The following is a 24558-nucleotide window of genomic DNA, read 5'->3' on the forward strand; positions in this document are numbered from 1 at the left end:
GGCTCAAGTGATCATGTACCTCAGCCTCCCAAATTACTGGAATAACAGGTGTGAGCCACTGCACCCAGCTCCTTTTCTGATTTCTGATTCCTACATATAAAATGGGTAAAATATGGATAACACTTATCAAACATAGCCCAAAAGTTGTTTAAACAATGAAATAAAAATGGCTATGAAGCACGTCACATACTGAAACATACTTAAAAAAAAAAAGGCAATATGAAAGAAAACAAGCCACAGACCTTAAATATAAACACCTCCTCAAACACCACAAGAGACAAAAATTTGTAAAGTTAAGGAGGGTAACTTATAAAAGTACAACTTCCCAGTTTATATGAAAATGGTTTAATAATACTGAAACTTAAAAGCTGATAAAATTTATTGGCTACGACTACATTTTTTCTCCAATCACAGCAAATATTATGAGACACTTATCAATGCAAAGCTTTTGATCCTTTATCATGTACTCTGAACCCTATGCACTACTAAATAGGCAATATGATACAATCAAAGGTTTCTTTGGCAGACATAATTATATGTACCAAAACATTAAACTGCGTATTTTCCCTTAAACTTACCTGACTAAAGGCATCTGATCAAAAGACAAAAAGTGAACAATTTTAATAAGTAGTTGCATTTATCAATAAGAGTCTACAAGGTAACAAAAAGTGTAAAGAGACATCTTTTTGAAAATTCATATAAAACAAACCTTCCATGTTATTAGATCAACAAATATAATCACCTGGGTATATTTTATTAGGGAAAAATGACAATATTGATAATAAAAAGAGAAAGGAAAAATGAAAATGCATCTCAGACCAGAATACCATAACAAAACTTTTGTGGAAGCTGCATTTTATTTGAAAATCCACCCATTTTGCTAACATACATTTTAATATTGTAAACAAAAATAGAATCTGCAGAGACAATGCAACAAGAATGCTTAAACTCATGTACAGAATTGCTTTCCTACAATGAACTGTCCTTCTTAAGGCCCCTCTCCACCCAAATGTTAAAGATGTATTTACACAAAGCACCGATCAACAGTGCAGTTTAATTCTTCGTTTACTAAACTCTTGGCTAGACATTAACTTTAAAGATACTATTTCCCCTTATTTAAAAGGTATATGATCATAACATGGCACGAGCCAAAGAAAATGTTCAAGGACTTTGCCCCCCTTCCCTCCCCCTTGTAACACCTTCTAGAGTTTTAGTGAAAAGAAGGAAAGTCTTGAAGTGAAAGCAATTCCTCACATTCATTTTGGAAAGGCCCTAATGTCAAATGGAAAATAATGACATGCCAAGCACAAAGCAGTAAAGATCCTTCCCAATGCACTAATGCTGAATTTAAAATGTAGTGCTTTTCCTAGTCAGTGAACTGTTCCCTGGCAAAATCCTAGGCACAGAATTGACTATAAGGATTAATGCATTTATAATGCTTCCCTAAATCCCACAGAGGCCGAGAATTCTTAAGAGATTCAGACCTATGGACTTGCCTTAAAATATTTAGTGCTCTGTATGTCAGCTGAGAAAAGCATTCTGAATCAGATTCATTCTTGTGGATAAAAATCAAACATACTGTGCACATCCATACTCATTTTCATAAGGAGGTCTGATACAATATTAATGTTATGTAAAATTGATAATCATAAATAAATACAAATACTTAAGGAATGTCTACTGCAAACTGAATATAATTTTTTTTAAAAAAAGAAAAGTTAATTTCAGTTATTGTTTCTGTATTTGTGAGGACTGGAGAAAAGAAAGATAATGCATAATTAGGAATTTTAATTTTGATCCCCCAAAAGAGTCCTGTTGAAATACAGTAAAGGACACAGTTCTTCTCTCCAGGCAGCTTTTCCAAATACAAATTTCACACTTTCCAAATAAGGGCTTTTCTTGATAGGTTACTGATTATGGGTATTAACAGGAGTTGAAAGAATTGAAGGGTTAGTCACCAAAAAGACAGATCTTAGTCTTAAATCATAGCAATTCTTGGCTTTATAAACTGTATTGATACGTTCTCCTATAAACTAGTCCCAATTTCCTTCATGGGCCTTCACTGAGTTACTTGTAGCATTCTAATGGAAGAAGAGAGTTTAAGAGATTTAAGAGACAGCAGTTTGGATTTTGCTGGAAGTAAGGATTTTGCTGCTTGAGCACTTGTCTTTTTGGAGTAATTCCATTTTCTTCCATCAAGTTACATAAACTGTATCTGGAAAAAAAAAGTGGGTATGTTAATTCATTGTATTGTAGGATGTCTTCTCATAAATAAAAATGCTTTGTGGTCTTTACCATTTAACTGGCCCAGAAGTGTTCACAACATGCTTATCACAAACCCTGTTTATAAAACAAAGTCAGTATTATCAACTTATGTGCCAGAAAGCTCAATATTTGACACATATAGGGACTTCCAAATAATGTTTTTTGTTGTTGTTTTTGAGACAGAGTCTTGCTCTGCTGTCTAGGCTGGATTGCAGTGGCATGATCAAAGCTCAATGGCTGGGCACCATAGCTCACACCTGTAATCCCAGCACTCTGGGAGGCTGAGGTGGGCAGATCACCTGAGGTGAGTTCGAGAGTTCGAGACTGGCCTGGCCAATATGGTGAAACCCCGTCTCTACTAAAAATACAAAAATTAGCCAGGCGTGGTGGCGGGCGCCTGTAATCCTAGCTACTCGGGAGGCTGAGGCAGGAGAATGGCTTGAACCCAGGAGGTGGAGGTTGCAGTGAGCTGAGATCGTGCCACTGCACTCCAGCCTGGGAGACAAGAGCGAAACTCCATCTCAAAAAAAAAAAAAAAAAAAAAAAGCTCATTGGAACTCCTGGGCTCAAGCAACCCTCCTGCCTCAGCCTCCTGAATAGCTAGGACTGCAGACAGTCGCCACCACACCTGGGTAATTTTTGGGTGGGGGTAGAGACTAGGGTCTCACCGTATTGCCCAGGCTGATCTTGAACTACTAGCCCCAAGTGATCCTCCCGCATCAGCCTCCCAGGGTGCTGGGATTACAGGCATAAGCAACCACATCCAGGCCAAATACTTAACTGCTAAAAATAGAGGAATAGCATGTGGAGGAGGAAAAGAAAGAAGATCAATGACCTATTTTTTCATGACAAGTTCAGAAAAATCTCTCCATAAGCACAAATACCACAAGCAAAATCTCATTTGGGAAGCAAAATTTGAAATATTATTTCCAAATGATATACAATTAGAGACAATAAAGGGAACAGTAATATTATACTAAGTCTTTTTATTAACATAAATAAGAACCTGAAAGAGCCATAAAAATATTTTTCAATAGGGTACTACTGTTCATTCAAAGATATTTCACTCACAATTTCCCTTAAACTGCCCATCCAAAGATTACTGAAGTAGATGTGCTAATAAACTTGCCAAATCAGAAGACTATAAACTCCCAAAGATCTAGAAGGTATATCTAAACTGGGGGCTAGAGCATCAAGAAGAACAAATTACACTGTCTTCCAGCAAACAGAGGCAGTGTGGATCATATGCAGAATCCTTCTAATCGAAAGGGCTTAAGTATTCACTTGCCCTTAATTAAAAAGCAAACTTTATCCGATCTCATCCATTTACTGTGAGCAGTGGATGAGATTACTTTAAATAATTATGTTACAGATATTTTCCAAAAGTTGTTTTTCCTTATGTCCTATCTTTTCATTCTGCACCTAAAGAATAGAGGAAGAGGAGGAGGAGGAGAGGGAGCCTAGAGTCCTTTAAAGAAATGAAAGAGAAGCGTGAATTGTGTTTAATGTTTGGTAATTGTTTTTAAGTATTTAAGTCCCCATCTCCCAAAACAAGTAGCAATACCTAAAGTGATTTATAAGAAATCCTCCAAAGAGAGCTCTGCAAAGGGGTCCTTTCCTGAAGCTCTGTGAGGACTGTGACTGGAGGGGCTGGATGCTGCCGACAGCTGGGGGAAAAGAAGACAGAGAGAGGGAAAGAAAAAAAGATCTCAGAATGACAGAACATGAAAGCAGAAAATGTATGAAAGAAGAAGTGGTTTTGGTTTTGTCATCTTTAATAAATATAAGGGCAGTCTTTGTAGAAAATGGATTGTTAAGACAAAAGTTTCAGTCATATGTCAAGTTAAAAGGTATGCAATGGCATGTGTTTTTCAGAAAACAAACTCGTGCTTCTGAAGTTTCAAAGGAATAATGTCTTTTACCCAAAAGGTCGATATAAGCTGACCCATGGTTAAGAATTTTAATGTGTGTATGGGGGGTGGTGGGGGGATAGGGGAGGGAATACATAATTGCATTTTTGTTTAAAATTGAGAGAACATGGTTTCCTGTGTCCAGGCTATCTGTCCAAAGCTGTGCAACTCTGACCTCAGTCCGGACCCAACACATCTAGCTGCAATATTCTTTCCTTTCTTTCTTCATAAGGGTCGAAAAGTCCTGTCCTAGGTTCACACACTTTTTACACGAAGTTGTCTCCTGCTCATTTATCTTGACGAACTGCAGCTGACACACGTACTGTGGGAGGTGAAAGGGACCTTAGAGGTCACCTACTGTAACTGTCCACATACTGCCCTGAATATGGGGAATACTTAAGATCTTTGATTCTGCTTCCTGTTTGGACAAATTTACTTGATTCTTAGAATCTGTCCTATTGTTTAATTCGAATATACTGTAAGGCAAGTAAACAACTGAATTCAGTATGTATCTTTATTCTCCCAAACACAGACTATTCCTGAAGAACCAAGATATTAATTTTCATACATGTATCCTTCATTAAGCTGACATGAGCGTTTCAAACCCGACATGAACCTTTTTACTTTGGAACAAGCTTTTAATTCTTTTTCTCCCTCTGTATAAGATTGCAAAGCATATAAGCACAGGACTATTACAAAATGAGCTTTTCTTTTAGGGATGTCCTAGTGAGTAATAAAAGTTGACTAACTGGAAATAGTTTCAATTCATACTTCAACATTCAAATCCTATAGAGGATTTCTTTGCTGGTGCCAAGTGATTTCATTTCTTTCTACCTATTTATTTATTTATTTATTTATTTATTTATTTTCGGAAAAGCACTACAGAGAATGAACAGCCAATGAGCTTCGGCAAATATTACATCACTAGTATATGCAACTTGTTCTGGATGCCAAGATCAATTTATAGGCATCAGTTATACTCATGGTTGAGTAATTTCCTAATGCATATCTTGTTCCCAAAAACAAATGTTCAAAGACAATGGGAAGAGACAAATGGAACAATGATGGAATCACGCAGGCAGCTACAGATGGGAGGACAGAGCAGCATGCCTGGGCTTGAGGTTTCAAATATCATCCATGCAGAGACAAATTAAGGTATAACTACTGGAAAGACTCCCCCTCCTCCCTCTTCAGCGCAACCACGGACGGCCAATCAAAAGCACAACGATTTCAAGTAAAGTGATCCTCAGTTACTGAGCTGGAGGGAGTCCAACATCCACACTTATCTCCAAGATGAACTTGGTTTCTCTCTGAAGCAGATTTTCTTTTTCACCTACAGTTAAAACAACAGCAACAACAAATCCTACTTATTGCAGATAGACTGCATCTAAAATCAGAAGTTTCCTATGATAGCCCCACACCGAAATACCTTCTTAAATCACGTTTTCACCAGGGTAGCAGTCTGAAGACCTGACAGACCCACAGTAAAATGCCCCTGAAGAATACGGAAGAGACAAATCTATTTTCAATATGTGAGCATACTGCTAGACAAGTCCTAGAGGCTTATAAACAATGTTGAAAAGGATTACTTTTCCTTGAGAAAAAGAGCTGGTTTTTTATTAGAACTCCTAGTAGTCTCTTAAATTGGTAAAACACATACACGTCTCATATCTATAAAAATGTAGCCAAACTAAAACATGACAGAGACCACCAATAAGAAAACAAGACAACATCCCTGGAATAAGTTTCTTATCATCAATATCTGTATCAAGCGGATGAAACCATAGCCAGGGCTAGCTAGGCTGACTGCACAGCTCCAAGGAGTGGGACATACAGCAGCCCCTGACCATCCTACCCCTTCCTGGCATCTATTCCAAAGCACAGACACACCATGCACTGGTGAGAAAGTAGTCACCCCAGAGAGTAAATAAGAGAAGGAAAGGAAATGTGCTTCAGTAGCCCAATTACTGCTCAGGAAAATCAAGAACAAAATAGCATGAAGAGGCAATGGGTTCTTGGTAGGTGAGAAGTAGGAGAATTTTAAAACTATAAGAGCTGACTTGACTCTACTTATTTCTGTGAGTAAATTAAAGAACATGATGTAGGGTTGCTAAAGAACATAAAAAGGCAAGGTTAAAGTACTAGAGGATAAAAAATTAAAAACACAAACCAGCAACCAAAAGCTGTTGCTTTCACATAAAGCTATTCACATAAAGCACAAAATCATCAAATTTTACAAGAGAGCATATGTAATTTGTTGTTCTGGACACCAAGACAAATCATAATTGATCTTTCCAGTCAAGCCCTACTATTACATCACCAGGTATCTATCACAAATAAAATTAAAACAAAACAAAAACAAAAAGAGCCTTTACCTATTTACTTCAAATAACATTCTCTATCCCAAAATTCCCACAGAGCCAAAAAAAATTGGTATAGCTATCAGTTCGTTCAAATCAAAATGACCTATGTCACAACTGAAGATGTCTTCAACAAAGTGGTCAATTGTAATGGTCCAATACAGACATAGTCTTTTCTCATGTATAGAAAAATGAAATACTGAGAAGAGCAGCGTATAAATATACTAAAATCTGCAAGTGGTTGATGATAGTATCTCTTAAATTCCTTCTCCCCTCCTCCACTACTCTAATCAATCAATAAGAAAAAATACGGTAAAATGTTACCAAAATCTTTGCATTATATCCAGAGCAATGATTTTTTTGGTTATAGAGCGTGTTTCATATAGTCTATCTATCAACAGTGTCTTGTTCTGTCACCCAGGCTGTAGTGTAGTGGCGCAGTCACGGGTCACTGCAGCCTCAATCTCCTGGGCTCAAGTGATCCTCCCATCTCAGCCTCCCAAGTAGCTGGGATTACAGGCATGCACCACCACACCTGGCTTTTTTTTTTTTTTTTTTTTTTTATTAAAGTTAAGGTCTTGCAATGTTGTACAGGCTGGGTCAAACTGACTTTAATAAAGGACAAACACACCTAGCTTAAAGAAGGTTAAAAAAAGTCTATTGATAGACTATCATAAAATAAAAATGGTTACTCCTTCATTATACTCCTGTTAACATCAAACAAAGAAAATTTCAGGTTAGAACAAGAAAACATCAACAATCTCAGAAAGTGAGGCTAGTGGAATTAAAAGCTTATGAAAGACTAAATGGTTGGATATTTAGGAAAAAACTTGTGACATATCATTTGGCTGTACTTAAAATCCTTAGAGAACCAATTTTGCCACATCTTTACATTTGAATTTTTCAGTCACCCAAAAGACTGGGTAGAAACTTAACAATGCTGTAGAGATTCATTCTGTCTCATTGGCAAAATCAACCTCTTAAGAGAAAAATGGATTGTACTCCCTTTGCCTGGAATGACAGTGCCAGGTTTTGTAGAAAGATGGAACTGAATCTAATCCTAACTCTCTTATAAAATGGGATTTAGAATAATAGGCCCAATACCTGTACTGCCGCTTATGGCTGTCTTGAGAATTAAATGAACACAAGCACTCAGCATGCTGCCTGGCATATATTAAGTAGCTCAAATATTCTTAGTTCCATCTTCCCTACTACCTACCATCAAATGTTCATCTACAGATATAAGAGGCCTAGCTCAAATGTCATTGCCTCTGTGTTGTTCTTGCTCCTCTGCCGTGCTCTGTTATGTCTTTCTTATAAGGGGTCTCATTCCATTATCAACCAGTCACTTGTGCATCTGTATTACACTCACCTTTAGGCTGCTCAGGTGCAGGAAACACTTTATCTGTCCTTTGTTCAGCAACTAGCAGTCAATTACACATTGTAAGAATTCTAAAGTGTGCAAAATTAAAATGCCTTTTGGTGATAAAACAAGCTCCATATAAAAACAGTCTCCAAAGTGGAATGTACAAAGAAATTATTACAACTGTCCTATTTTTAAAAATTCCTATTTTTACATGCTTAAATGTACCTCATATATATTGCTGTAGAAATATATGAATGTATTTTATAAATACACATACAGTCATGGTACATACTTGCTATGGTTTTGATTGAGTGTTTGTTCCCTACAAAACTCTTGTTTAAATTTGGTTGCCATTGTAAACAGCATTGAGAGTTAGGACTTTTAAGAGGTATTTAGGTTCTCATCAAGGGAGTGGGTTCGCCCCCTTTTGTTCTCTCTCTGCCTTTCTGCCTGCCGTGTGATACCTTCCACCATACTATCATGCACCAAGAAGGCCCTTGCCAAATCCCAGTACGCTGATACTAGACTTTCCAGCCTCCACAACTGTAAGCCAATAATTTCTCTCTTTATAAACTACCCAGTCTATGGTATTCTGTTACATCAGCACAAACAGACTTAGACAATGCTTCAAACATGTTTTCCTAATACTGATGTGTAATCAAAACATTTAGAGACCATGGTGCTACTAAATAGGATTCCACAGAGACACTGAGTCACAGAACAGTTAGGCTGTTTTGGGGTAATGTTTAAAACATGACCAGGCCATTAGTGGTACGTTGAATCCAGTTGCTTAAGGATATAAATTATACAGTGCTGCATTTCATTTATTTATATTAAAGATAATGTGATTCCTCAGCTTCCCCTGTGAGATAGTGCTAAAAGACAGGATTTCTCTACTATATACATGTAGGGGTCTGTCCTTTGGGTTAAGTCTAGTGCCACAAATAATTGCTTCTTGTGTTTATGCTCAACAAAACCCCACCTTGGGTTTCTGCCCATCAACAACATAACAAAGTAATGCCAACATTAACCCTGTCACCTTGAATGCATTACCCATTTTGTTTTTTTGTTTTTTTTTTTTTTTTTTTTTTTGAGACAGACTCTCTGTCGCCCAGGCTGGAGTACAGTGGTGCGATCTCAGCTCACTGCAACCTTCGCCTCCCAGGTTTCAGCAATTCTCCTGCCTCAGCCTCCTGAGTTGCTGGGACTACAGGTGCCTGCCACCACGCCTGGCTAATTTTTGTATTTTTTGTAGAGACAGGGTTTCACCATGTTGGTCAGCCTGGTTTCGAACTCTTGACCTCGTGATCTGCACCCCTCCCCCAGCCTCCCAAAGTGCTGGGATTACAGGTGTGAGCCACCGCACCCGGCCCGCATTACGCATTTTGTTTTAGGGGATGCCACACAGTGACCTGGGAGCATTCCACTTTGAATGTATGTTGTATCTGAACCTCTCTAAAACTGTTTTTCCCCCCCCAAAGACAGGGTCTAGCTCTGTTGCCCAGGCTGGAGTACAGTGGTGTGATCATTGCTAACTGTAGCCTCCAATTCCTGGGCTCAAGTGATCCTTCCACTTTAGCCTCCAAAAGTGTTGATATCACAGGTGTGAGCCACTGTGCCCAATTCTCCTCTTAGAATTAGAGAATAAGGACAATTCAGGGAATAGGAACAATTTCCAAAAACAGGGCAACCTTTAAATATTTTCTTAGTCAGTTTCAAATATTTTCATTTGATCCTTACAGCAAAATGATAAAGTACACAAAGTAATACCACAATTTTACAGGTAAGGAAACTAAGGCTCAAAGTTACATAGAGAATTTGCTCTCAACACATGGTTAGCTGAGGAGTCAAGTCAAGACTGCTGAATTGTGACCCCCCAAAAGATGTGTTGAAGTCCTAACCCCTGGTGCCCATAAATTTGACCCTACTTGGAAACAGGGTCTTTGTAGATGTAATCAAGTTAAGATGAGGTCTTTGGAGTGACCCTAATTTGATGACCAGTGTCCTTATAAGGAGAGGCACGTGGAGGTAGAGACCCATAGAGAGAATGCCATGTTGACAGGTAGAGACTAAATGGCTACAGATGCAAACTATGGAACGAATGGGGCTACCAAAAGCTGGAAAAGCCAAGGAAGGACCCTCCTCTAGAAAATTCAGAGGGAGCATGGCTCTGCCGATACCCTGATTTCTCCAGAAGTGATAGAAAACAAATTTCTGTTTTAATTTCTGTTTTTAAGAGCTTAAAAACTTTTAACATGCTTAATCAAGTTTGTGGTACACTTTGTTACAGCAGTCCTAGGAAACTATAATATAAACTCTAATGCAGATCTGCTGGTTCCAAGGCTGGTGTTTTTTTCCTCTTCAAACTCTGCTATCCCAATTAATTTCAATTCAGCTAGAATTTACGGCTATATTGAATTTACAAGAAAAAGTTAAAGTTGGAGTAGAGAAATAATTTTTTAAAGGAACTTTTCTAGTAAATGTGAGACAATACATTCCCATTCTTTCTGTATACACAGTATTATACATGGTCACTGATGTTCGTCATGAAGATTCTGCAGAACTTCACAGGCACCCCGGACTTTAAGAATACTTTCTGGTTTTATTTATTAAGACAAGAAATTAGATTTCTACCTTTTCGAGAATGTCCTCAGCAAAAACCTAGTAATAAGCAAGGTCTTATTCTATAAGTTGTCTTGTTAGCAATAGTGATCAGCAGATGAGACTTCTAACATTTCTATTTCGAATGATTCAGGTGTGTGTACTAGGAGCTAGTTTTCACCTATGGTACTACATCCCAATCCCCAAGGAAACGTCCCTCATGGTATTCTGCAGTAGGCAAGGATGAATGAGCACAACACATTGCTTACAAGGCAAAAAGCCTTCTTCACAGAAATCCAGCTGGAGAGATCGGCTGACAGAGGAGGTACTGCCAATACTCACAATTAACACACCAAGAGAATAAAACAACAACAACAAAACCAAAAAACAAAACCAAAACGAAACCTAAAAGCAGCCACTAGTTCTTAAATACAAGAAAGTACTTTAAAAGGCTTTTTCTAAGACTTAAATTATTCGAATATCTAAAGGCAACAGTGTTCCCATTTAGAAGGATAAAAAGCACTCACAACAAGCCATCATTTCCTTTCAGACACTTAACTGATGTCAGACTGATTTAAAATTAGCCACTGCAAACAACAAAAAACAGCAGCCATTTTGCATCTTTAACCATATCCTCCATAAACAAAACTGGCAGTCCTCCTTTAAAAAAAGGCCTAATACCAGTCAAGAAACCAACAAAACTTGGCCAGGAGCAGTGGCTCATGCCTATAATCCCAGCACTTTTGGAAGCCAAGGTGGGAGGACTGCTTGAGATCAGGAGTTCAAGACCAGTCTGATGTATGCTTGCTCTACAAAAAATTAAAAATTAGTCAGGCATTGTGGTGTGTGCCTGCAGTCTTAGCTACCCTGGAGGCTGAGGCTACAGTGAGCCATGATTGTGCCATTGCACTCCAGCCTGGGGGACAGAGTGAGACCCTGTCTCAAAAAAACAAAACAAACAAACAAAAACAACAAAAAAGAAACCAACAGTTAATTTTAAAATTAAATGCCCAAAGGTAATACTCTGTATTTTTCATATTGCTTCTGGGAAAATAGGCAGATTGATATGTGATCAGTGGGAATTTTTCATATAAGGAAATAAGATGACAACAACAACCCTTGTCACCCCCAAAGAGCTTCAAAAATACCTAAACTGCCATATAAACATTCATTTAAAAAGTGTTATTTCATATCACAATGACTTTCAGAAGAAAATTGAAACTATAACTGTCTTCATGCTTAATAACATAATAGCTGTATATTGCAACTAAAGAATTAGTTTATGAACTACTGGCTTAGCAATGGACATTTCAATTTATGTAAAGCACCAGTAAGAGAAAGCAGGAGTCCCCTTTCCAGACACACTAGCAATCTGTACCAAGTAACCAAATAGTAAGACTGTGAGGAAGCACAGAAGAGAAACAAAAGGAAAACCACAAGGACCTAGAATTTATCATGAAGTTAAACATCTAGGAAGATGCACTAATGTAGAACAACATAATAAAGACAGCTACAATGTTAGGCATGAAACAGAAAAACAATAGTATCTGTTGTTAAACAATTCCATGAAAATATCTAAAAAATACAGAAAAATGACTCAACACACACACACACACACACACACACACACACACACACACACACACACACGGAGAAAAGGGTATGTGTATAGGAATTCATAAGTTCAAAGCTACAGCGCAGTCTACTGAATTAAAGCCATAATGACAATTTCCTGAAGAATTGAATCAAGTCTGAGCTAACAGCCATCTGGAAGGTGTTAGCTGCTTCCTCATAAACAAGCACTAATGCAGTGCTTAGAGTAACCTAGATAAAATGTAAGACACACAACACACTGGAATGTCTCACTAAATGGCAACAAGATAAAGGTATCTGAGAGGGCTAGAGCTCTCTCAAAAATGTTAACTTGATATAATAGTAATCAGGCAAGAGACCAAGAGCTACAAGTTATGCCTTAGGTAAGTAACAGCTCTCAAAACAAACACTTCAAAGAGCAAGGAAGAATTTTGGGAACAGCTGTAGAAATTAGATTTGATTAAAAGATTCCATTTTGATGGAATTTCATTTTTCATTTAAACTACCATTTACTTTACCCCATACAAAGAGATGGATGATCTCTGCCCTTAATAATTTTTTAATCCAATTGAAAAAAAGGGAACAAAACAATGAAAGAACAATTAAAAGGTAATTCATTAAGAAAAATCTTTTGGTTTCGGCTAGCATTCTACGGACAAAATTAATCCAAGAGACTGGCTGAGAATCATTAAACATGCTTTAAAGCATGAGAAAAACCTTATCTAGTTCAAAGATAAACAGTTTACTTTTTTCTTTTTAAAAAACAGACAGTCTCACTATGTTGCCCAGGTTGGTCTGGAACTCCTGCACTTAAGTGATCCTCCTACCTCAGCCTCCCAAAGTGCTAGTATTACAGACATGAGCCACTGTGTTCGGCCAACAGTTTAATTTTTAATTATTAAAAATGTTCAATCATAAACATAAAATAAAGCTGTCTTCATTCCTCAGGTGAGCCGTCTAATGTTTTAGCTCACCATAACTATTAGCCAACAAATCAAACCAATTTTGAACACCACTGCAAGTTATTATAATGGTTACAAGTAAGTGAAATGAGAGATTAAGGAGGGGCAGAGTAAGTTATATGATGAAAAAGGTAAGTTTACAAGGTGATTCATTTACTTAACAAATAATGTCCAAAAACTATTACATGTCAGGCACTGTTCTAGGAACTAGGGACAGAGAAGTAAACATGCCAGAGAAGCTTGCCTTCATGAAGCTTATAATCTAGTAAAGAAAGCCCTTGCTAGACTGGATGGATGCCAGGTAGTCACAAGGTCTGTAAGAAAAAATAATGCAGAATAAGGAAAAGAATTCCAGATCTCATAAGGATGTGAAAGGGACACCAGATGACTGAAGACTGGACAAAGAATAAACCCACTTTATGGCAGGTGAAGGACTTATGGAAAAGACAAATAACAGCAGAACACTGGATACTTATTGAGAATTGTAAAAGCATGGAATCGAAGAACTTGAATATTCCGTTAACTCATTATTACTCTTATAAATAGGGAGGCTTCATGAGGTTGTTTTAAGATGGAAGGAAAGCTGAGAAAAGGCTTTAAATGTTCAGTTATATTTAGATTCACCTCCTTAGGCTGGACACAGTGGCTCACACCTGTAATCCCAACACTTTGGGAGGCCCAGGAGGGAGGATCACTTGAGGCCAGGAGTTTGAGACCAGCCTGGCCAACATGGTGAAACCCTGTCTCTACTAAAAATTAGTTGGGTGTGGTGGCGTGTGCCTGTAATCCCAGCTGCCGGGGAGGCTGAGGCAGGAGGTTTAACACAGGAGGCAGAGGCTGCAGTGAGCTGAAATCGTACCACTGCCCTCCAGCCTGGGGGACAGAGTGAGACTCCATTACCCACACACAAAAAAGATTCACCTCCCTAAATGTTTGAGTATGGAGATGGGTATTACAAATACTGCCTACAAAAGATTGTTCCAATATTTACAAAACGGATTAAATCGGGGAGGCAGAGAACATGAGTGACTATTGCAAAACAAGTGTGAATAAAGAGGTTCCAAGACTGGGTGAAAGCTGTAGAATGCAAGGAGAAGGGTGGGTCTAATTATAGCAGAGGAATAATTAGTGAGACTTTGTGATTAGATACATGCAGAACAAAGGAATTACAAAATAATTAAAAGTAACATTAACAAATTTAAGATTCTGACTTTCAAATGATTCAAATGACTATGTAGAGAGACCAAAGCTTCTTCAAGCCATTTCATTGCTGCCTGATTTTATTTTCCTAGTTATCAATTTGCTTCCTTCATTTGCTTTTTCAGTAATACTTAAGTACTCATTTCAAATTTTATCTTTCAACTAGAAACTTATTACCCTAATGTTCTCATTCACTTCTCTTCTGATATAAAGTAATTAAGAAAAGGTATTTCTGTCCCTGTTTTTTTTCATGCACAAGGAAATTCTGGCACTTTTCTGGTGTTTCTGTGAAACGGTTATGTGGGTTTTAGAAGGCAACAGGACGTAAAACCTGGGTTAAGAGCAGATGCTGGGTGGGTACGGTGGCTCATACCTGTAATCCCAGCACTTTGGGAGGCCGAGGCAGATGAACTGCTAGAGCTCAGGAGTTCAAGAACAGCCTGGGCAACATGGCAAAACTCCATCTCTAAAAAAAATACAAAAATTAGCCAGGCATGGTGGCATACACCAGTAATCTCAGCTACTCAGGAGGCCAAGGCGGGAGGATGGCTTGAACATGGGAGATGGAGGTTGCAGTGAGCCGAGATCGCACCACTGTACTCGAGTCTGGGTGACAGAGCAAGACCCTGTCTCAAAAAAAAAAAACAAAACAAAAACAGAGCAGATGCTGGATGACAAGCAATTTTTTGTTTGTTTTGAGATGGAGTTTAGCTCTTGTCGCCCAGCCTGGAGTGCAATGGCCCAATCCAGGCTCACTGCAACCTCTGCCTCCCTGGTTCAAGCAATTCCCCCACCTCAGCCTCCCAAGTAGCTGGGATTCCAGACATGCACCACCAAGCCCAGCAATTTTTTGTATTTTTAGTAGAGACAGGGTTTCACCATGTTGGCCAGGCTGGTCTTGAACTCCCGACCTCAGGTGATCTACTCACCTTGGCTTCCCAAAGTGCTGGGACTACAGGCGTGAGCCACCGTGCCTGGCCAACAAGAAATTTTTTAAAGGTAGATTTTTGCCAACATTAAAAAAAAATGTTTAGGTTTTTAAAAAGCAAAACTCATACACAATGTTTCAAGGTTGAAGGTTATTACCCAAAACTGTAGAGAATATTCTTTACAACTATAGTAGTTACATCCTGAATGTGTAAATGTGGTTTACAATTTAGCAGAAAAACCTAAGGAGTGTGCAGACTGTTCACTGCTGACGAAAGAAGATGGTGCTACCGTATTGGCCAGTAAGGGCTCAGTACCACTAGCAGAGAGACTGTGGTATAAATGAGCACTGGACTAGGAATCAGACACACCTGGGGATAAGTTGATTTCACCATTTAATTAGTTGAAGAACCCTTCCAAGTCTGTCTTCTTTACCTATGAAATGTGACGGTGAGAGCAGACCCATCTACCTTAAAGAATCGGCTAACACAATGTATGTGAAAGTAATTGGAAATTGTCTGGTAGTATCCAAGCTTAAGGTAGCAATATATTCTGACAACAGCCTGCAAATCAAGATGCAGAGTGGGTGAAGGGTTTAACTACATATCAGGAAAAACACTTCTGTAGTCGAAGGTCCCTAATAAGTTTTTAGCATGGACTATAGCTTTAAAAAAAATTACTTAAATACATTTAGGTTTCTATCACTTAGTCTCTTGTACCAAAATAATAATAATAATTTTTAAAGTAAATGATACATATCTGAAGTTAAATGTACAAATAACAAAATAAAAAACAAAAGGACATGAAAAAGACATTAACTGTGTATCAAGAAAACATCTACAACAGATAGGGAAATCATCCATATACTTCTTAAAAGATTATCAAGTTAAACCAGTAATGAGATTACTGCTGGTAAAAGTTCAATAACAATTACTATAAATACTGTAAACACTCATAGTCTATTTTATAAAAACAAATGCACAAAAAGTGACTGACTTATAAAAGTAATGACTGTGTCAATTACCCTCACTCCAAGTTATTTTCAATTTTCACTGTAAATACTTAACTGATTAAAGAACAAGGAGGAAGTCATTTTAACATGGACAAAGGGTGGGGTAAAAAAAGAGGCATGTTGGTAAATGTATTAATTGCAACCAACATGAATTTTACCCCTTAATCAGAACTAAATTCACTACCCACTCTCAGCCAAACAGAGATATCAATTTATTAAGAGACGCATTATTCAAAACGGCTGAGAAATGAAAGGATTGCCTAGGCTTCACTAGTCTATGAAATACAGTCCACTATTTCACTTTCTGTGGTTTCAGTTACCCAAAGTGAACCGTGGTCTGAAAATAGGTAAGTAGAGGATATTAAGATAGTTCAAGAGAAAGACAGAGAGGGAGAGAGCAAGCATGTCCGTGAGCAAGAGCACACATTAACAAAACTTTTATTACAGTACACTGTTACTGTTCTATTATTCATTATTATTAATCTCTTACTGTACTTAATTTATAAATTAACCTTTATCAGAGGTATGTATGTATAGCATATATATGGTTCAGTACTACCCCATTTTCAGGCATCCACTGTGGGTCTTGGAACATATCCCCCAAAGAGAAGAGGGGACTACCGTGCACAGAGACTAGATTCAAATTGGATCAAATAAACTAATATTGGCAATGTAAGACTATATGCTTTGGCAAATGTAATATATATGCATTCAAGTGAAAGGGGAATAACAAGTCCACTAAGCAAATGCTCATTCAAATGTTTTCAAGCATTAAACACATAACCAATCAGTTAGCATTAGCAACCATTTAAGAAAAGGAGGGGTGTTCTAACAATTGCATATAATTAACTACTTCTAGATGTCAAAACAGTACGAGCAGAGCCACAGACACAGAAGGATAAACCATCCTATCACTTCACAAGAGCCTCATCCCAGAGTATGCCACCAGAGAAGTGAATAACAAAGGAATTTCCTATATCTTCTAACCGTAACGGGTAAAACATTAAAAAAAAAAAATTCTTCTAATGCAACAATAATGGGACAAAAAACAATGTATATTTATGGTGTATTTTCAGGAACTAGGAGAGAAAAGCCTTAGAAACACGTCAAGAGGAAAGTCTCTGGATTAAACCATCTAAGTTTAGCATGACATTTCAAGCTTTTTGACTCCTTTTTTTGGTTTTTGAAAACAATCCTCAGTGGCAGAAAGTTATCTAACGAAAAAATAACATTCAAAACTTTTTGGAGAGTTGCCAAGAGTTTCACAAGCATCTCAAGGCCAACACGCCCTGCTGTAGCATCATTCTAGCCATTAGCCAAGGAACTAAAGCTCTGAGTTAATGGTTTTGAGGTTCACAAAGGATACTACACCAGAATCACGAAGAGCAAGTAGGCTCCTTAATCTCAGAAAAATCATCCTTTGGATCTACCAACTATAAGTTACCAAGAATTTTCTGTCTTTAGTATTTGCTATCTACTTATCCTTTCCCTCCAAATAATCAATATTCCTAAAGCTCTTATATAAGAAAGATATGAAGCAAGCAATATCCATAATGAAGGTAGAAAGTGCTAGTAACTTGTTTCTCAAGTTGTACAAAAGGGTTTTATAGTATCATATTCCTTCCAAATCAAACACATTACCACAGTTACATGTAGTGTGTAATACCTGTGCTCCTGATACAGGGCCAAAGGGGTTTGGAGGTCTCATGACAGGCTGGCTGTATATTAAGGTTGGTTGCGTCATTACAGGAACACTTCCCATTTGTGGAGGCTAAAAAAGAGAAAAATATCAAAAGATACTGACTCCTATCTTCCTTATTGTGACTAAGTAAATAACAATGACAACAGGGATGACAGGTCCTAGTACCTTTGCTTGACTCAAAGGGTAACTTCCTCTGAATATAAGTAAGACTAACAGCTACAAACTTTCGAGAGTATTTTTTTTTCTTTTGGTAAGTAAAGTCTTTAACATGCTCATTTTTAAAATGTAGTAACAAAGCCTAACTTTTTCTATTCAATGAGTTGCAAAATGTAAACTTTATTGTATTACAACAGATAAAATGATTAAGACTAAGAGTTTCCAAATTTATCAGGTTTAGACATCAAGAAAACTTAAGACTCTGTCTTCGCTGCTAAGAAATTTCAAAGTAAATTTGTATAACAAATCAAGTACTTTTGCCATTATGCAAGTGATCACAAGTGAAGACAGTTGATTCTCTGAATAAGCCTGCTCTAGTTCTTCCATTTTATTTCATATAAGAATCAAGAAAGAGCTTAAACTACAAACCAGAGGTTAACTCTTTCTTGAGTAACTGAAAATACAATCTCAACCAAATATGTTTCTTTAAAAATTACCACTACAGGGTATAAAATTAACCTAGTAAGTGACAATACCTAGTGTAAAAATAATGCACAAACAGAATACTGTTTTGGTTAAAATGCAATGCTCTAAAATCTTTCCTTTCAAGAAGTTCTATTTATTGTTTCAAGCAGACTACTATTTGCATTTAGAGCTTCATTTTAAGTTTATGGCCTGAGTTTCTCAGCAGACTTTTTTTTTTTTTTTTTTTTTTGAGATGGAGTCTTGCTCCGTTGCCCAGACTGGAGTGCAGTGGCATGATCTCAACTCACTGTGACCTCTGCCTCCTGGGTTCAAGCCATTCTCCTGCCTCAGCCTCCCAAGTAGCTGGAATTACAGGTGTGCGCCACCATACCCAGCTAATTTTTGTATTTTTAGTAGAGACGGAGTTTCACCATATTGGTCAGGCTGGTCTTGAACTCCCAACCTCAGGTGATCCACCCACCTTGGCCTCCCAAAGTGCTGGGATTACAGGCGTAAGCCACCACACCCAGCCTCAGCAGACATTTTAATGCAATGACTATGAAAAAAAGCTGTGAAACTTCTCCACATGTATAAAAGGAGTTACTTCCATATCATATACATAAAGAAGTAACATAGCAGGCACAGTAGCAATACCAAGGGACACGGTACTGCCTTCTACCAGGAACAGTTCCTCAAATACATACCAGTGGGTTGAAGCTACTAGCACCATTTCTTTTCTAATTGAGTCTCTATATACTGAGAGTTGGGAAACTAAGGGCAATCTAAAATGCACATTGTGGCATTTTGAAAGGTTAAAAGACTGTTTTTGTACTGTAATAATCATTGTCACAGGAAAATTTCTCTAGCCTTTATCAGACTAAATTTATCTCTATACAATTCAAGTGTTAATCCCTCCCATGCCCTACAATATCAGGTTATAAGACCTCACTGGTATTTAATATATGGTCACAGCAACAAAGGCTTAGAATTAACATTAATGTTTGAAATATAAAAGGCCCAGCAAAGTTACGAGGAGAAAAATAAACCAAGTAATACTATGAACATTAATGCATAAGATCTCTTGTATAATGATTATTCTAGACATACTTATGAAACCAATGCTATGGTTCTACTGCATTAGGCACTAGGGCTAGGAGTATGAGGAGCACTAAATTCTTTTTTAGGTTAAATTGTAATAAAAACATGTTATATATGAATCAATATTTTTTCCAAAAGCTGTACCTAGGAAAATACTTACAATTCCATATCCTATCATGCCTGTTGGTGTAGTAGCAGGATAGGCCATTACAGGGGGTGCCTAACATAGTGAAAGGAAAAATGAACAAGAAAGTATAACTCATGTGTGTCAACTGAGTTCAAGGAATTAGTAGCTGTAGTTCCACTAAAAAGAATTGCTAAGACAGCTGTGAGTAAGTGACACTTGTGATCATTAAGAACTGTCGATTAATGGTCAGTGAAAAAAAGTGTTTTGAAATTAGCAGAAAAGCAGACTTATTAGAAGGATAACTATACCACTTAAACTTAGATACAGCAGTGATCTAAGATTTCATCATGCTTTTTACAGCTTTAAAAATCTTTAGATTTAAAAAAGTATCTTAAATAGTTCTAAATAGTTCTAAAATTTAAAGCCTATCACTATCATTAAAAAATGTCTACCCAGAAAAAGTATTATTGAATGTTTTCTTACTTAGGTACCTGATTGCTTTAGCATTCAAAGAAAAAAATGTAAAGATCTCAAATCAATCAATAACCTGATCTTCCAAAAAGTTAGTTTCTAAGGATCTTACTCACTCTTTTCAAAAAACTCCAAAGGTTTCAAACTACTATTGAGTATGACTATTTCTATGAGCCATAGTTCTTATATAGAGTATGTACGTTAGCTTTCTAATTTATTCCAAAAATTATTTAAGAGGAACAATCAATTAGGTCAGTTTATGCTTTCATGTTTAAAAGAACCATCTATCACTATGATGTTTAAGTTCCCCTCTTCCTACTACTTTGATTATCTGTAAACATACAATTTGAGAACAGAATCATTTTAGATATAGTTGCTGTCTTAACAACATTTCCTGTGTGTGTTTCTCATAATGAAAACTGAAATTGAATAAAGGTGAAAGACCAATAACACTGCTAAAACATAAAATAACTGAAATTATATGGCAATTTGAACATATGCATGGAGAAATTAAATGAAATATAACTTTAAAAAAATAACACTAAAGTGAATAGTTATAAGTTTAGTATTCGGGTGAGCGTGTAGGACTTATTGGTCTCTCCCTACTTAAAACCAAGATCTGCAAGAGCAGTAGACAAACTGCCAAGAAGAGCAGAAGCCTGTAAGATTTCATGCAGTTGTTATTTTAAACATTACCACAATCAACATTTCCCTTCATTCAGAAGTCATCAAGTGCATAGTGGCAGCACAGATACACACACAGACACCCAGCCATCTGGCAGCAAATGGCGGAATATTAAGCAAGAAAAAAAATCGGTATTTCCCATGCCACCATCAGAATCAATTCTGCAACACACCCATGAAATCAGTAGATGCTAGGAAGAATTTCTGGCACATTGAAAATCTGAATGTGAAAACAAGTAATAGCTGAAAGGTTATGAGATTCTGCTACAGCAGTGGTTAATAGCATGCCAATTTATTGCAAAAAGGCTCGTTTTTGGTCACTTACGTATTGTGGAAAATGCATGCCATTCTGTTTTTCCCAGGGAGAACAATTACATAATGCAATAACACTGGATTAGAACAAGTACTTACACAACAGAAAATACACAGAGAGCATTTTAGTTCACATGTACATTCACTAACTACCTAAAATCCCTTGTATTTCCAGTATCTAATGAAAGAACATCTATACTAAAACACTATCAAGGTTGACAAGGGAATTGTAGTCTTTGGCCTCATCTCTTTATATAAAAAATAGTTTATTGATTACAAGTACCATTAAAACATCAATTCTATCAACAGTGTCAACAGTGCAAAATTTTGGGCATTGCATAAACAGGGTTGCATCAGATGTCTACCACAGAAAAAAAGCAAGCACTAATTAAAAGAATTTGTAGTATAATATATATTTTAATAAAATTCCAATGAATTTGTGTTAAATTTAAAAAACACTGAAAAACCTTGACAGTGTTTAAGGATTAATAAAAAGGTTAGAAATGTAAAGAAATGTCAAAAGCAGCAGTTTATCTTAAGTAGTGAATCACATTATCAGCCCCAAACATTAGCCATTAAAAAGAAAACTCCATAAAATACATATAAATATTTAAGCAAAATCCTTAGGAGATGATACACATTACCATATATAACACAGCAAGATAAAGACTGTTACCTTATCAACTTAAATACAAATTCTACATGACTAAATACCTACTACATTTTAGTAGTCAGTCTTAAGTGCTATCTATGAACTCCTAATACTTCATATAGATTAATACTAACTTAATATAAGAAAATATTCATTATATTTTAATAGCAGCACTGGTATTTATATCATTCCTCATACATCATCAATGTCATAATTCACACGAGTCCATAAAATCCACTACTCTAAACTCCTACCATACCCTAGTCAGTGAGGTGTGTTATAGTGGGAAGAAGACTGGATTCAGAGTCAAAGAGATGGATTTCAACTTAAATCTGCTTTTCAACTGCTTTGCACTTAGGGAAAAAAAAAATCTTTAGAAGTGGGGTGATACATGCTCCAATTCCCTCAAGACAGCAACATTTACATGTTTAAGATTGTGTATTTGTGTGTATAAAAATCTAAACTACTTAAATGCAAAGTTTTAAAATCAGTGATGATAGGCTGGGCGTGGTAGCTCAGGCCTGTAATCCCAGCACTCTGGGAGGCTGAGGCGGGTGGATCACTTGAGGTCAGCAGTTCAAGACCAGCCTGGCCAACATAATAAAACCCAGTCTCTACTAAAAATTTAAAAATTAGCTGGACCTGGTGGTGGGCACCTGTAATCCCAGCTACTCGGGAGGCTAAGGCAGGAGAATCACTTGAACCTGGGAGGCAGAGGTTGCAGTGAGCTGAGGTCGCGCCACTGCAATGTAGCCTGGGCAAAAGAGCAAGACTCCGTCACAAAAAAAAAAAAAATACAAAATAATAAAATTAGTGATGGCAATGAACACTGTCTGAAAGAAAACAAAAACAACAACAAAAAAACACTGCCTTAAAAAGGTAGCTAAATCTCAATATTACTTTCCATTTATGAAGTCTTAAGCTATATAATAAAATGCACAAATTTTAACAAACATACTATTTTTAGCTCAGTCCTACTAATTTTAACATATCATTAACCCACGGAAAACAGGGCAGTGCTCTGGAAGTGGCTATAAGGACAACCGCAGCCTCTAACAGTAACAGGACAGCTGTCAGTAACGTGTAGCCCGTGTAATCAAAACACAGCTACTAGCCTACTGTCTGGAGAAAGAATGCTTCAAACTTTTCCACAAGGAGTTTTCTTTGACTGACGAAAATTTGTTGGTTGGTAAGATAGAAACTGGCCAAGGACAGGAGAATAGCCACAGAGCTATTCTGGGTCTACCATACCTTACAGTAATTAAAACATACTAAAACCTCTTCATTACTAGATGCTAATTATTTAATTAGAAAATACAGTTAATCCTCATTATTCATGGATTCCATATTTGCAAATTCACCTACATGATAAACTTTGTGACACCAAAAATCAACACTCCTGGTGCTTTCAAGGCCATTCATGCTCATTTGCAGAGGGGCAAAAATTTGACTCATCCAATACAGTTCACCTCCAGCTGAGATGGAACAAAGGACACTCTGCCTTGGTTCAGCTCTCATACCAGACCAGAGGATAGAGAAGGAGGATGGGGAGTCCATCATACTGCAAGAAACTCTGACTCTGGGGCCAGCTGGACAGGGCTAAAATTCCAACTCTGGCACCAGTTAGTGCGACAGCCTTAAGCAAGTCACTTAACACTTCTGAACTTTATTTCCTCTTTCATAAAATAAATAGAATATACTAGAATGAGGTTTTCTAAAAGGACCGTCTATGTGACATATACATATATGCATATATTTCCCCCAGCAAGGGTTCAGTGTTCACTAATTCAGTGTTTGGGGTGACTTAAGTACTTAACTGCCACAAATAATGAGTATCAACTGTGTAAGTTATATGACATATATATAATTGCCAAACACATTGTCATATATATAAATTATATGACAAAACCGAAGCAAGTATAGTTTCTTTACCAATAATGAAATCACAAGATTTTGTATTTTAGAAAAATAAATAAAAAATTTGAGGTCAGTAATATAGAGTAGTGATTAAGGACATATGTTCTATAGTTAGGCTGCCTAGGTTATAAAAATTCAACTCATCATTTAAGATCTCTGTAATCCTGAGCACATTGCTTAATAACTCTGAGCCTCCACTTCCTCATCTGTAAAATAGGGATAATAATAGTGACTAACACATTAATAGGAGGATTATAAAAAATAAAACATTATTATTTACTGGAATATGTCTGGCACAAAGTAACCCTTAAATACTTGTTAGCCACTAAAATGTATCTGGTAAATATAGGCAACCAGCTTCCTTTGAAAGAAATACAATTACTTATACTTCTAAACTCAGTAACAATCCTTCTATTTATGTCTATCACTTTAAAAACATTTTCATGTTACATATTTAACTAAATTATTCAACTGTTAGTCTATCAGGAGCTTTTTCAACTCACCATTGTTGCAGCATTCCAAGCGGTTGTTGGTGCAACCTTTGGTTGCCAGTTAGATCCCCCAGTTAACTTCTTTTCACCTGGTTGACTCCAATTTACATCACTTTAAATAAACATAAGTGAGAATATTAAATGTCTCTAATTATAAAGTTTCCTTAGCTATATACTTATATAGAACAGAGTAAGATAGAGACTTGAGGCTGGGCGTGGTGGCTCATGCCTGTAATCCCAGCACTTTGGGAGGCCAAGGTGGACAAATCACTTGAGGTCAGGAGATT

General features: G+C 37.0%; 1 protein-coding gene across 31 annotated transcripts in view; it reads right to left on the minus strand.

Annotated features, from left to right (window-relative positions):
- PICALM (phosphatidylinositol binding clathrin assembly protein) overlaps nucleotides 330-24558 on the minus strand; it is a 112686-nt gene continuing 88457 nt past the window's right edge. For 9 of the 31 annotated variants that reach the window (XM_047427666.1, NM_001206947.2, XM_047427665.1 and 6 more), the window contains 4 exons: nucleotides 24284-24383; nucleotides 19778-19837; nucleotides 17863-17967; nucleotides 330-2215 (listed from right to left, as the gene is read on the minus strand). In XM_047427666.1, coding sequence (XP_047283622.1) covers nucleotides 2201-2215; nucleotides 17863-17967; nucleotides 19778-19837; nucleotides 24284-24383 — 280 coding nt within the window. In that variant the 3' untranslated portion in view covers nucleotides 330-2200. Of the gene's footprint in view, nucleotides 2216-3829; nucleotides 3933-17862; nucleotides 17968-19777; nucleotides 19838-21224; nucleotides 21249-24283; nucleotides 24384-24558 lie in introns of all 31 variants that reach the window. The other 22 variants (XM_017018388.3, XM_005274336.4, NM_001008660.3 and 19 more) reach the window with 4 other exon arrangements.

The sequence above is a fragment of the Homo sapiens genome, chromosome 11 (assembly GCF_000001405.40).
Source record: "Homo sapiens chromosome 11, GRCh38.p14 Primary Assembly".
NCBI classification, from domain to species: Eukaryota; Metazoa; Chordata; class Mammalia; order Primates; family Hominidae; genus Homo; species Homo sapiens.